This window comes from Homo sapiens, chromosome 6 (genome assembly GCF_000001405.40).
Source record: "Homo sapiens chromosome 6, GRCh38.p14 Primary Assembly".
NCBI classification, from domain to species: Eukaryota; Metazoa; Chordata; class Mammalia; order Primates; family Hominidae; genus Homo; species Homo sapiens.
In genome coordinates, this window is record NC_000006.12 from 154,202,959 (window position 1) to 154,217,648 (window position 14,690).

The window sequence follows — 14,690 nt, forward strand, 5'->3', positions numbered from 1 at the left end:
AAGAGATTGATAAAATACAAATACAAATGAAAGTGAACCTGGAGTTTAATTTCCAAGGATTCAGTATGAAAACACGCTTTATAGACCGTGTAGTGCTAAGGCATGGCTCATTATTTCTAACATTCTGGAGAAACCAATAGCCAACATCAAGCATAGAACTCTTAGCTCACTGCCTTCTGTGAACCATCTGTGCAACATACTCATAAAGCTCCCCACTGAAGATCAAATGAAAGCAGAAGGCAGTGCTAGTCTCTCCTCTCCGCCCCACCTCTACTGGTAAATATGAGCCCAACCTTCGTGTGTCTGTTCAAACACCAACTCCTCCAGGAAGCCTTCTCTGATAGTCTCGGGGCCAGGTAGGTGCTTTGCCTGGTGCTTCTGCGGTTATTTCTATCATAATAGGTGGAATGTCATTTTGTGTATCAACTTACACAGTTGTCCCTTGAACAGTAGGGATTCAAACTGCACAGGTCCACTTAAACACAGATATTTTCCAATAAATACAGTCAGCCTTCTGTATCCATGGATTCCAAATCCATGACTAAATGGGGATGAAGACAGCGTTTGTGGGATGCAGGATGAGAAACTCAAGGATACAGGGAGCCGACTTTTCGTGTAGGTGGGTTCTGCAGGACCCACTGTGGGACTTGAGTATGCACAGACTTTGGTCTCCATGGGGTTCCTGGAACTAAACCCCCACAGATACCAAGGGATGACTGGATTGCAACTACTGATTGACTCTTCATCTTTTTGATGAGCTACCTGAGAACAGGCTGGTTTTAATCATTTTTCACCTCCATTTTTTGCCTCTTGTTTGACACATAATTGGTGACAAATTAATGACAAAGAATTGGCCAGAACCAGCTTTGTGAAGAAAAGCGCCCCAGAGTTATTCAGCCTCTGGGGGAGGAGCTCCCTGAAATCCTCCATAAAGTTGCTGAGTGATTTATCCGAATCCCAGGATCAAGGGGCTATCGGTGCCAATTACAATGCAAATAGCCTGACAAAATGTTCTCATAACCTCAGATAAAAGTATTATTTTATTTAGTTAGTGATTAATAATTGTATGTGGTTTCATTCCTTTCAGAACACTTAGGTATTAAGTATTTTATATTTAAATGAGGAAGTTAAAGACATTTCAAAAATCTTCGTTCTAGTTAAGAGACTATGATATGATTACATTAAAGATTAATACTGATTTTTCCTATTTTCTGTATAGGATAGTTTTAATTCTTGAAGAAGCATCATTCAAATGTTAGCCCTAAAATCCTTTTCTTGGAATTGTTTTTCAAACACAAGTTTGACATGGTGAAAAAATAGTTTAAAATGGCCACCCAAACCCTGTAATTAGGCAGAAGTGAGTCAGCATAGAAATCTTAAGGAGTCAAAGTACATGGAAACAAAAAAGTCTAAACAAAACAAAACAAAACCAAAATGACAAGAAAGGAAGAAAAGTACACAGCTTCCCTTTCCTTGTATTGGCCATATTAGCAAAAACAAAAAATAAACCAGTCAATTGTTGTTAAGCCCCAGGAAGTATCATGTTTGTATTTCTCCTATATGCCAGGAGAAGCATCACCCTAAATACCAGAAGACCTTGTAATAGTACACTCCTTCTCTGTCACTGACCTTCTGCATGACCTTGGGCAATGTGCTGACCGAAGATCTACTCATCACTGTGATCCTTAGTATCCATGTGACCTTGAAGAAGTCATTTTACCTGCAAGTACCATTCTAGTGGCTTCCTGCCTTATCAGTGCCCCCCATCCCACCCCAGTCCATCCTCCAAACCACAGATAGAGTATTTCTAACACACACAAAAAGTCCACAATATTCCTCTGCAGAAAACCCTCTTATAACTGCCCATCTTAAGTAGAAAAATATCCATAGTATTCATTAGAGCTTAGAAGGTCCACATGAACCCCTAAGGACTCCTCCACCTGCATCTCCTCCCTCCTTCTCCACTCCTTTCTAGCCACACTGGCCTTCTTTCTGTCCCATCACCACATCTCTGGTCCCTTCTGCCAGAAAGGCTTCCCTGTGGATGTTGGGTGGACGGCCTCCTTCCCATTGCTTGGACCTCCACTGAAATATCACTTCTTCCACAGGGTCTTCCATGACAGAGCAGACAGAGCAGTATCCTCTCCACTCCCAACCCCTGGCCACTCCCTAGCCCATTGCCCTACTTCATCTTCAGAGCATTTGTCAGTCCTTGAAGTAATTTGTTTGAATTATTACTGCATTGTCCCTCTTCCTCAACACAGAACTCAAGATGCTCAAGGGAGAAGACACCATCTAGTTCCATTCAGCATCCCTGTATTTTTTTTTAATAAAAACAGCTTTATTAAAACATTGGCTAGATGTGGAGGCTCATGCCTGTAATCTCAGCACTTTGGGAGGCCAAAACAGGTGGATCACTTGAGGTCAGGAGTTCAAGACCAGCCTGGTCAATATGGTGAAACCCTGTCTCTACTAAAAATACAAAAATTAGCTGGGCGTGGTGGTGCAAGCCTGTAATCCCAGCTACTTGGGAGGCTGAGGCAGGAGAATCACTTGAACCCAGGAGGCGGAAGTTGCAGTGAGCCGAAATCACACCACTGCACTCTAGCCTGGGCAACAAGAGTAAGACTCTGTTTCAAAATAAAAACATACACACACAAAGAAACACATTAATTTATTATGTATTATTATTTAATTAGTTACCTAACTAGTTAGTGTATATGCTGCTGAATTTGAGCGGCTGTGTATTGTAGAAATATTTCAGAGGACAATGAATAAACTGCAATTAGGACAAGGTGCACATTTTCCATTTTTGTTTACCCCAGGCTGCCACTTAAAATCAAATGCTATCATATTTGATTATTCCTTCCTTTCTAACACATCATAAAGTTTTGTATCTCCATGCTTCTGCTTGTGTTCCTCCAACTAGGATTACAATAGCAGACCCTTCGGAAACTCACCCAGATCCCCTTTACCTGGCTATGCTGCAGCCTTCCCCAGCTGCTGCTAGGCCTGAAACTAATGGCTTACATCTGAGGCTTTTGCCAAAGGATTACCTTGGCTATCAAGAGATGCCAGGAGACTTTATTCTCAAAAGCTCTTCATGGCACCCCCATATTGGTAACAGTCCCTAGCACATGGTAAATACACAAAAATATTTATCAGCTGCCTGACTAACTCAAATTTATCAAGAGGGGCAAGTGATATCCCATAAAGAATATTCTTCATGAAACATAAGCAGCTTGCAAATGCTACTTCCGATAGCTATGTGTATTTCTCTGGAACCTGGCTTCCTCATTTGTAAAACTCATACAAGATTTCTGTGAGAGTCAAATGAAATCATTCTTCTCAAAGCCATGCAAAAGCACTAGACAAGTGGAAAGTAGTATATTTCTCATTCACATGGGGAAATATTTGTGGAACAAGAAATTTGCGGGGGTTGTGGATGAAGTCACAATAATCACTCACCCATCCATCTGTCCATTAAATGTTTATTTAGTTTCAAATGTGTGCTAGGCACAGTCATAAATGATGTGGGTAAATGAAAAGATATTGGGCACTGGCTCTGACTTTAAGAATTTAATAATTAGAGAAATAAACCAGATACACAAAATCTCTAATCAAAAGCAGATTGTGATAACAACATGAAAAAAATCATCAAAAAAAGAAACACTATGGGAATACAGAGAGTTCAGAAGAGGGAAGAATTACCCTGACCTAGAGGACTAGAGATGTTCTCATGAAGGAATCTACATCTGAAGCTACCATTTTGAAAGATACTTAGAAGGTGGGATTGGGGTGGGAGTCAGGGGCAAGTGGTCCTGCAAGTGGAGAAACTTTATACCTACAGGTACGAGGGCAGGAATGTCTGGAACGCTTTTGGGGAACAGCAGGCCGTTTGTTGGGCTGACGATAAGGGCAAAATTGGCAGCAAGACTGCAATGGCAGCCTGAAGACAGGCCAAGGGCCTAAAATACCAAGCCAAAGACTCAGGAGTTAATTTAAGAAGCAATGAGAATTCACTGGAAGCTTTTGTGCAGGTGAATCAATGTGATCAGAACCGCATCTTAGGAAGACTAATTGGGAGGTGGTTTTTAGGAGGAGAGAGAGAGGGACTAGAGACAGGGAAAGAAAAATAGCCTGCTATTTCAATAACTCAGGTCAGGGCTGATGAGGGCCTCAACTAGGCAGTGGGAGCAGAAGGCAGGAGAGAGGCTGGGGGAGAGCCACCGGGCTGCGTGACTGACTGCCAGGAGAGCAGGCTGTGAATGAAGATGAGCTGTTAAAGCCAGAGGCAAAAATATAAACACGAATTTTAGCAAAGTCTTAAAATCAGTTAGATATTCAACCATATGGCTTACAATCATTTTTTGAAATCTTGAGGAGAAAGGGTGAATTTTTCTGTCTACCTTTTTCTTGTATATATAGTCACTGAGAATTTTTCACCCAACTATCCACTTGCAGTTCTGTTCTTTCATTTAGTACAGATATTGAATAATCAAATGACTTTGGTAGACAACTGTTCAAGATATGTCTTGTTAAGATTAAATGTGAATTTCCAAAATTAATTTCACCTCCTTCTGTGTTTAAACTTTTTGGGGTTTTTTTTGTTTTTTTGTTTTTCTGTAAAGACGGGGTTTCACCATGTTGCCCAGGCTGGTCTTGAACTCTGGGGCTCAAGCCATCCACCCACCTTGGCCTGGTGGAAACTTTGACTTCCTCCTCTGTCGCTGGCCAAGGGCCACAGTTTGCAGGATTTATTTTTCCTTATTGCTTCTTTTGTTTATTTTAGCTGATTTTTTTTTCCTCATTTCAATATTTAAAAAACTACTTCAGAAAAACATCAAAATATGAGGATTGTTGTGTTGAAATAATCTGCATAAGCTTCTAGAAGCTGGAATTAGAAATATTTATCTCCTCTGTTTGTCTCATATTTGATCTGCCTATTTGATGGTCTACCTTCCAAACGGATTCAAAATCTAACCATTCCATTTCTCTGCCACCCCACTGCTATCCCGATGGAATCGCTGCCATCTTTTGCAATAGCTTACTGTATACCCTCTCTTAGTTTTCTGATTCTATGCCTACCTCCCACTTCCCAGTGTCTGTTGCACAGAGCAGATTGGGGGCTCCATTTGAAATGGAAGTTGATTATATCCCTCCTCTGCTCAAACCTTTCAAAGGCTCCCTAAAGTCCTTAACTGGCCCATATGCCCTCCACGATATGGCTACCACTATGCTTTGGCTTCATTTCCTACTACTCTCATCTTGGTTCACCCCGCGTCAGCCACAGAGGGCTCCTTGCAGTACCACACACCAAGGAGACCTTGACTCTCACTGTTCCCTTTGCTTGGAAAACTTTTCCCCCAAATATCCACTTGGCTGACTCTCACACCACCTTTCAAGGTTTCGCTCAGATCTCAGCTCTCAGTCGGACGTGTCCTGGCTCCTCTATTCTTTGCCACAACCCAATCTCTACCCCATCACATCCTGACTCACTGGACTCCACTTCTGATGTAGCATATATTTTCCTTATTATGTGGATTTTTTATTAACAGTCTCCCTCAACTAGAGGTTTGGCTCCATGATGAACATGAATCACAGTCCACTTTATTCACTGATGTGTTCCAAGTATTTAGAATGCTGGCTCTCAATAAATACTTCTTGAATGAATGAATATGCCCAGAAGCATAGACCAGGTTATCTCATGATGCTTTTTTAAAATTAAACTTGAAGGAAAAATACCTGGAGTAAATTTTTAGTGACTTTTATAGCTCTTAACTCACTTTGTAGCTTATAAAATTATCAGATTTGAAATAGAAAGTTGGTTCTTTTTGCTCTTTTGTGAAACTAAAGGAATCACAGATAATGATTTCTACAAATTGTCTTCCAGAGTGAAACTAAAAGACTCACATCTATTTGGAGCCTTTTCAGTAAGCCTGTTAAAAGCTGCCCACTTGCAACTTCTTTGAGAATAAATGGATGTTCTTTCCACTATCAACCCTCTGAAACCTTCTGAAGAAGGAGGAACATAACATAAAAACCTCTTCTTCACTGAAGGAAGATTTCCTGACATGTTCTTTATTATCTCGTGAAATGTCATTCAGCCCATTAGAAGCAGAAGTCCAAACTGGTTTCATTGTTTATCTTGACTCTATAGCAATTAGAATGATTAGACTGAATTAAATATTTTCAAGATTTTAAATTTTTTTGAATTTTCCAAAATAGTATTATTTTATACTGTTGAGTTCATTATCACAAAATGGAAGTACATCACCCAAAATAAAATTTTAACCAAAAACTTGGGGAAAAAAATATTTTTGCCCCTAGGCTTGTATATCTAAGTCATCGCTAGCCTATACTGTATTGGGCCAAACACTAGCTCAATTCACTCTCTGCATAAAAGCTATGACTGAGTGCAGTGGCTTACGCTTGTAATCCTAGCACTTTGGGAGGCCAAGGTGAGTGCATCACTTGAGCTCAGGAGCCACAGACCAACCTAGAGAACATGGCAAAACCCTATCTCCACAAAAAAAAAATTCACCAGGTATGGTGGTGCACACCTGTAGTCCCAGCTACTCGGGGGGCCGAGGTGGGAGGATGACCTGAGCCAAGGGTGAGGCTGCCTTAAGTTGTGATCACGCCACTGCACTCCAGCCTGTGTAACAGACTGAGACTGTGTCTCAAAAAAAAAAAAAAAAAAGTTACTATATATTTTTTTTATTTCATCTGTTTAAATAAAAAGCCTAAATGTTAGTTTAACCAAGTGCCTTCCATGTCTGTTTTTCAGAAAGAGAAGAAAACAAAAACAAAATCTGTCTGGGAAATATGTGATCAGGAGGAACACATTCTGTTTCTAAGGGGGAAAAAAAATCTAACTGTTCAACGTTTATCTGACGATTTCCAATATATTTCTTTAGAAAATGTTAGCATTAATGGCCTGCCAAAAAATGCTCAACTTAGAACTTCTAAAAAATAACATTTGATTGATGATTCAAAAAATTTAAAGATACTTCTGAGTTCAGTGACCTAACTTACTGGCTTCATGAGTATCCCTTCATTTATTTATTTTAAATCAAGTATTCCCTGAACTTCTATTGTGCATCAGGTTAGACTGTCATTATATAATGCAATTGAGCCATGACCCCTTGTCTAAGAAGGCAATTTGGTTGCTTTTATTTCACCAGGGAGAGTTCTAGAAGGCCCTCCATGATATGGCTACTCGGTTGCTTTTATTTCACCAGTGTGTTCTAGATGCCTGACAATGCTCTTAGCAAAGTAACCTGAGATACTAGTTTGCCATTATAAAACTGAAAATGCCAGTATTTTACAACTAAATAATCATAAAAAGAGGTATATTGGTGGGCACAGTGTGAGGGAGAATGAACTTGAGGAAAAAATGGAGGGAGAACAACTAAACATTTGTATGTTACAGGTTAAAATAGGAGAGAGACACAGAAGCAGACATAGAGACAAAGACAGAGACAGAGAGAAACTTAGCAAAAATACATAATCCTCTCTTAAATCAACAACAAGGAACATTTTTTGAAGACCTATTCAATACAAAGTTGATAATGTCTTTAGAGGCATTAAAGGGTAAACTAATCAGAAAGTTGTCAAAAGCTGAGAAACATTGTAAGGTCTGAAGATATCATTAAGTTTGAAAGATATAAAGAAAATAAAAGCTTTTTCTAAAATCCAAAATTGATTTTTAAAAAGGAGAAGGATTACACTGGGGAGAAGCTATGAATATAGTAAGAAAGAATAATATTATAAATGTAGTTCAAAAATTGTTCTAAATTTTACCATATTCAAAGTTTAATTTTATTTATATCTTGCTTAATTTTGGCTAATCATATTTAATAGATAGTTTAATAAACATTTATTCAACAATATTTATGTCTTTTCTTGGCTGCTAGCCAAATAAATTAGAAAATGACCACAATTCTCCACTGACAGTGTGAAAAAACAGTAGAGGTCATTATTTAAATAATCAATATAATACCTTAAATCCAGGAACTTGCAAAACACAATAAAGATAAAAACTATCACACTGAACAGAAATTCTGGCAGAAAAGGTCTGGTAAGTGAATGAGCTACTGTAACCTGTCAGAACTTGCCATCATTTGGGTCTATAATGGACAGGTGTCATGGTTCAGTAGAAACAGCATGTCCTGGCTGGGTGCGGTGGCTCACGCTTGTAATCCCAGCACTTTGGGAGGCCGAGGCAGGCGGATCATGAGGTCAGGAGATTGAGACCATCCTGGCTAACACGGTGAAATCCCGTCTCTACTAAAAATACAAAAAATTAGCCGGGCGAGGTGGCGAGCACCCCAGCTACTCGGGAGGCTGAGGCAGGAGAATGGTGTGAACCTGGGAGGCAGAGCTTGCAGTGAGCCAAGATTGTGCCACTGCACTCCAGGCCGGGTGACAGAGCAAGACTCCATCTCAAAAACAAAGAAAAAAAAAAAAAAGGAAAAGCATGTCCTATAAAGCTAAACAGACTGGGATTCCCATCTCAGGCACTCACTGGACACTTGAGCATGCCATTCAACATCTCTGAACCTCAGTTTCCTTAACCATGAAATGAAGACAGGAATATCTACTTCCTCATGACCTAGAATAGGAAACAATTTTTGAAACCAGTGGGAAAAAAAGGCACTCACCACAATGAAGGTGATGGATAAATCTGACATATTAAAATCAAGAACATGTGTTTACAAAGAGAAATTGTGGAACAGTTTAAAAAAGATTAAAAGTGACATTTGTTCACTTTTAATAGGTTGGTGCAAAAGTGATTGTGTTTTTTGCATTATTTTTCATAGCAAAAAGCAGAACTACTTTTGCACCAAACTATAGCTGTAGAGCTGACAAAGGACTAACACATAGAATAATAAATTAAGAAATCCTATCATTCATAAAGAAAAAGGAGGAGGAGGAAGCAGCTAAAAATGTAGGAAAGACTTAGACACTTCACAAAAGAGAAAGTTCTAATGGCTAACAAACATGAGAAGGTGCTTGGCCTCATTAAATGCAATGCATTAAATAAAATGCAAATTAAATCATACTACTTCCAGGGTTGCCTGGAGAATTAAAAGTTTATGCATTTAAAGCACCTACATACATCCTAGTACATGGTAGGTATAAAACCAAAAATCACCTTCCCCAATGATCATTGTATGACCCTTCCTCGGGGCCATTACTGTAATGCTAAGAGCATCTAAATATGAAGCTAACTCTCCATAGACTTCACATTAATTAATAATGTGAACTTACATTTGGTGCTTCCAAAGCTTAGAATCAAATTTGAATTCCTCTCTAGTGAATACACAAATCGCTCCATGTGCACTTTTAATGCACTAACCCCACTCCTGACTTCCTGCTCTCTTTCTGGCTCTCCTTTTTTCTTTCTGCTCTTTTTTCATCCTAAATTCATTTTGCATTGTTATAGTACATGCACATAGGCAAGGCATTTAAATTCTTCCTGAGAAAAAGTAGAACATAAATAAACACTGTCAAAGAAGTCTTTGCAAGCACTGGCCTGTCACCTAGAAGCCTTTGCATCCTCATGAATTCTCTGAGTACGGTACATCTTCGGGTCACACACAAATATACCAAGTTTATCATACCACTGGGTTGCTATGGAGAAGGCTCAAAATCAGCACCCTGAAAATTGCACTTGCTCGTTGGCAGGTATCTTAATTTAGCCCATTCTAAAAATTTATTGGTCAAGCTACTTCCTATTCAATTGGAAGAAATGACATCCACATGTCTGATCGATGACCAACAGACTACTTATGTCGGTACATACCAAAGACTGAGTCTGGGAAGCGTGAGGAGGGGGTGGTGTCTCCGCAGCTATTTCTGGATCTTCCTGTTCACTTTCACTGTAACATTCTATAACAAAAATGAAAATGCTTAATGTTTTAACGCTGTCATCGCTTATTCCATAATGCATGAGCAGAGGTTTATCTCCATCTGGCTATTGCAATTTCAATCCAATTCAGAAAGTTCATATCTAATGAACTACCTGGTAACTACCTGGTGCAAAGGAATTACATAAGAGGCAGAAACAAATGGCCAATTCGGGGCTCCTGACCTCAAAGAGCATCCAATATGCAGGAAGAAGACAAATCGTAGCTTGGGGAAAATAAAATAATTCCTCAAAAGAGGTGTGAGTCATAATACCAAGAGAACACAAAATCAGTGGTGATTAATTTTGATTGTAGGAATCCTAATGAATTGAAACTGGCAGGATCACTAAACTATCAGTGGTGCACAACTTGTGAAGGGGAGTCTCTGGCTGAGGGAGCAGGCTGGGCCAAGTATGTGGAGACCCCTACAAGATATGGCAGAAAACGAAGCTAGAAGGTGGTGGAGGCCATGTCATAGAAGGCCTTACATACCAGGACAAGGAGAAGTTTTGTGTGTAGTTTTGTACTAACTCACAATCTATAAATAGACAATGGGTACTTATTTTATGGAAAAGAGGACCAAGAAGATGGCTAGGACACCACCGATTTCATGGTATTGCACGGTACCCCTTTACTGTTTCAAATCAAGTTGCCACTTTTCCATTTCTAACTAACTCTAAGATTTTATGATTTTGTTATCAGAAGATATAACTCCCTGCTTCCAATTTCCAAGGCCTTTTGTGGTCTGGGCATTTCAGAAAGACTATGAGTTCAGTGGCCCTGGCAGCTAAATCCTCCCTCTTCTCAACACTAAGGTGTAATCACATCATTAAGAATTAGACTCCTGTAGCTTTTGAACCCTGAAAGCTACCGACTGAGCTAAAAATATGGCCTGTGTCCCAGTATGACCTTCAGGTTCCTGGTACAATCTTAGGGTAATTAGCCTCAGTACACACCTGGTGGAAATATTAAAATATCAGGGAGGAAATAGTGGGATGAAAGTTAACTGACCAGATCATGACGAGATCATGTCTATCAGTAAGAATTCCACAAGTGGAGCAATTAAACATTTGCATCGGTGACTGTTTGAGATGTCATGAAGCCCACAGCTGCCGGAGTGTGGGTGAAGTGTGAAAAGCATTCATAGCCAGCATGGGAAGCTCTATTCCATGTTGGTGAGTCTGTGTGAATATGTCTGTCTCCACATATTTTCAGATCATCTTAAATGCCAAAGCATGTTTCCTCAGGATCAGACTATACATAGAACTTGACATTGTTTTTTCACCCTGTTTCAACCTGTTCTAATATTCTTGCTAAATTTTCAGAAATTTAAAATAGAACATACCTTCATCCTTTGTAGTGGATTCCTGATGGATTACAGCCGATCCAAGTTTATTTAACCACCTAAAATTCAAATAGAAAGCAAATGTTGACCAAAGAGATTAGCCCCCCACCCATTCACCTTCCCCCAGAGTTTGTTATGAAATTAGGTCATGATTCTACCATCAGTCTGCACATTTCCAGAAAGAGCATAAGTTTGTGCCATCGAAACCTAAGGCCTCTGGTTTCACAATACTTTCCATACTCAAGGTATCTTTTGTAAGGTAAGATGTGAGGTGGCCCATTACTCAGTTGGTTCATGAGGGCAGCTAAATTAGGTATTCCAAATATATGAACAAACACATCTTCTGTAATCCTGCATTTGAAATTTTTAGCAACCATCAAATCCTTTATCACTGGATTTAGTAACTTGGCTATTAAAGTTATTAGGTGTTACTCTTAATAATGTCTTAATAATGTCAGTTTATTTTAGAAAAAATGTACGAAAAGATCATCCATTTAATCCAGGAATATTTTTATGTCAATCAGTAAAAAAAATCTGGCTAGAATTTAACAGGTATTTTTAAACTAGAACAAATTTTAATTCCTTGAAGAATTTTATGTAAGGTAAAAATTGAAAATGTCCTATTTACCATTTTACTGGCAATGAATTCCAATTAAACATCAATAACAAAAATAGAACGAGACAGAAACTCAAACTTGGCTTATCACTGCAGACCACTGTAGTTCCTTCTCAAGGGTTTACTTAGGAACATATCTTGAAACACAAATTTTTAAAAGCTGGGACACAAAGTGTGTCTATGACATATACTCCTAACTATATAATTTTCTACTTATTGGGAGGATCTTGCTTATTTCTGTACCTATTTTGAGACAGGGAAAATCCGTGCTACACGTTTATCAATTCGTCTATGCTTTTGATGTCTTCCAGTCTCCCATGGGCAATGAACAAGCCATGAACAATTCAGCATACTACACTTGCACTAAGCCATAAATATTGCACCTTCCCACCTGTATAACTGTCAGATAATTAGGAATCCTTACGCAACCCTCAACCTGCCATGGTCTTGTTGTACCTGTTATTTTTGAATAGAAAATATATAACAAATTCAATGCCGGGAGCGGTGGTTCATGCCTCCCAGCACTTCAGGAGGCCAAGGCAGGTGGATCACCTGAGGTCAGAAGTTCAAGACCAGCCTGACCAACAGGGAGAAACCCCGTCACTACTTAAAAAAATACAAAATTAGCCGGGTGTGGTGGCGGAAGCCTGTAATCCCAGCTACTCGGGAGTCTGAGGCAGGAGAATCACTTGTACCTGGGAGGTGGAGGTTGCAATGAGCCGAGATCATGCCACTGCACTCCAGCCTGGGCAACAAGAGCGAAACTCCATCTCAAAAATAAATAAATAAATAAAATTTAAAAAAATAAACAAAATAGGAGTTTCTAAAGAACAAAGATGAGCTCCAGCCTTTGTTAAGAAATCACCTTCAGCACATAATAATCACAAACTCCTTAGTAGCCACTTAAAATTGGACCAATGAAGAGCCCAGATACGAAACAGGAACCCAAAAATGTATATCAAGTCTCAATAGGATAACAGGCAAAATAAAGGAACAGAAATTTACAGAGAAATCAAATAGCTAGACAATATGCGAAAAAAATTTCTCAGCCTCAATAGTATTTTGAGAAATGCACACTCAAACACAGGAAAATATTTTCACCACTGGATTGGAAAAAACTTAAAAATATTATTGATTTCAAGTATTTAGCAGGAAACAGAAAAAGAAGCATTGTCACCTTTTGTTGAATTAAACATGAAAACTGATACAGCCAATTCTGAGCAGGCAATTTGATGATAATATTAAAAATTTAAATATCCATCCCCTTCACCCAACAATTCCAATCATAAATATCAATCCTATAGAAACACACTTTCATATACACAAATGTGGCAGAATGTTCACTGCCAACAAGGCTTGTAATGGCAAAAAGAAAAAACATTAATAAGAAAATGGATAAATAAATTATTTATTCTATCAACACTGATTCTATCAATTTCCTGTTATAATGAAGCTAATGAGAGGACTAAGATGGGGGTGGGGGGTGGTTGTAATGACCTGGAAAAGATATGAACAAATTATGAACAAATATATCTTCTGTAATTGTGCCTTTGAAATTACAAATTTCCAAATTTGTAATGGAAATTTGTATAAAATGGAAAACCCTAATATACTCTTAATTGAGAAGATCAAGCATAGAATAGTATGTTTAGCCTGATCCACTGTACTTCAAAAACGATATGTTTTTGTATGTGCATGAATTGGTATGCATAGAAAAGTGTCAGGAAGAATATAATTTTACTGTTTAAAGTGATGGCCGGGCACAGTGGCTCACACCTGTAATCCCAGCACTTTGGGAGGCCAAGGCAGGTGGATCATGAGGTCAGGAGTTGGAGACCAGCCTGACCAACATGGTGAAACCCTGTCTTTACCAAAAATACAAAAATTAGCCAGGCGTGGTGGCACACGCCTATAATCCCAGCTACTTGGGAGGCTGAGGCAGGAGAATCGCTTGAACCCAGGAGGCAGAGGTTGCAGTGAGTTGAGATTGCACTACTGCACTCCAGCCTGGGCGACAGAGTGAGACTCTGTCTCAAAAAAAACAAAAGAGGAGGGTAACCTCTTCTTCCCCTAAGTGGCCTCAGGTGATCTGTGAAAATGGTTTGCTATTCACCTGACCCAAAAAACCCCATAAAACCATGCAAACCAAGAGGTTCAAATCTTTGTGTTCACTTTAAGAACACCTGTGAAATTCCCTAGGCTATCAAAGGTATGCATATATGAAAAGCCACCAAGTTATCTGAAAGATGTCACTTTACGGAAACAACGTGTACCATTCCAGCCTTCCAAGGGTGGAGTTGGTAGGTATGCACAGGCCAAACAGTGGGGCTGGACACAGGGCTGGTGGCCCAACAAGAATGCTGCATTTTTCCTGCACATGTTTAAAAGTGCAGAGAGTGATGCTGAATTCAAGGGTTTAGATGTAGATTCTCTGGTCACTAAGCACATCCAGGTGAATGAAACACCCAAGATGGGCCACTGTACTTTCAGAGCTCATGGTCAGATGAATTTATATATATGAGCTCCCTCTGCCACATGGAGATGATCCTCGCTGGAAAGGAAGAAATTGTTCCTAAACCACAAGAGGTGGCTGCATGGAGAAAAAAAAAAAAAAGTGTCCCATAAGAAACTGAAGAAACAAAAGCTCATGGCACGAGCATCGATTCAGCATAAAATAAATGCAAATGAAAGCGCACACACACACAAAAAAAGTGGTTAGCCCTAGGGAGGGTAGTTGAATTAGAAAGTGAGGTGAGGATATAGGAAATCTTTTGCTTTGTCTGACACGAATACGTTTTATGTATTATTAACTAAA

General features: G+C 39.2%; 2 protein-coding genes and 1 pseudogene across 8 annotated transcripts in view; 2 read left to right on the plus strand and 1 right to left on the minus strand.

Annotated features, from left to right (window-relative positions):
• The window catches only part of OPRM1 (opioid receptor mu 1), a 236,372-nt gene that overhangs the window by 192,463 nt on the left and 29,219 nt on the right, over window positions 1-14,690 (plus strand). The gene's annotated exons all lie outside the window — the stretch shown is intronic.
• The window catches only part of IPCEF1 (interaction protein for cytohesin exchange factors 1), a 202,308-nt gene that overhangs the window by 48,463 nt on the left and 139,155 nt on the right, over window positions 1-14,690 (minus strand). For all 7 annotated transcript variants that reach the window (NM_015553.3, NM_001130700.2, NM_001394799.1 and 4 more), the window contains 2 exons: window positions 11,260-11,318; window positions 9,812-9,897 (listed from right to left, as the gene is read on the minus strand). In NM_015553.3, coding sequence (NP_056368.1) covers window positions 9,812-9,897; window positions 11,260-11,318 — 145 coding nt within the window. The remainder of the gene's footprint in view (window positions 1-9,811; window positions 9,898-11,259; window positions 11,319-14,690) is intronic.
• RPL17P24 (ribosomal protein L17 pseudogene 24) lies at window positions 13,953-14,566 on the plus strand (annotated as a pseudogene).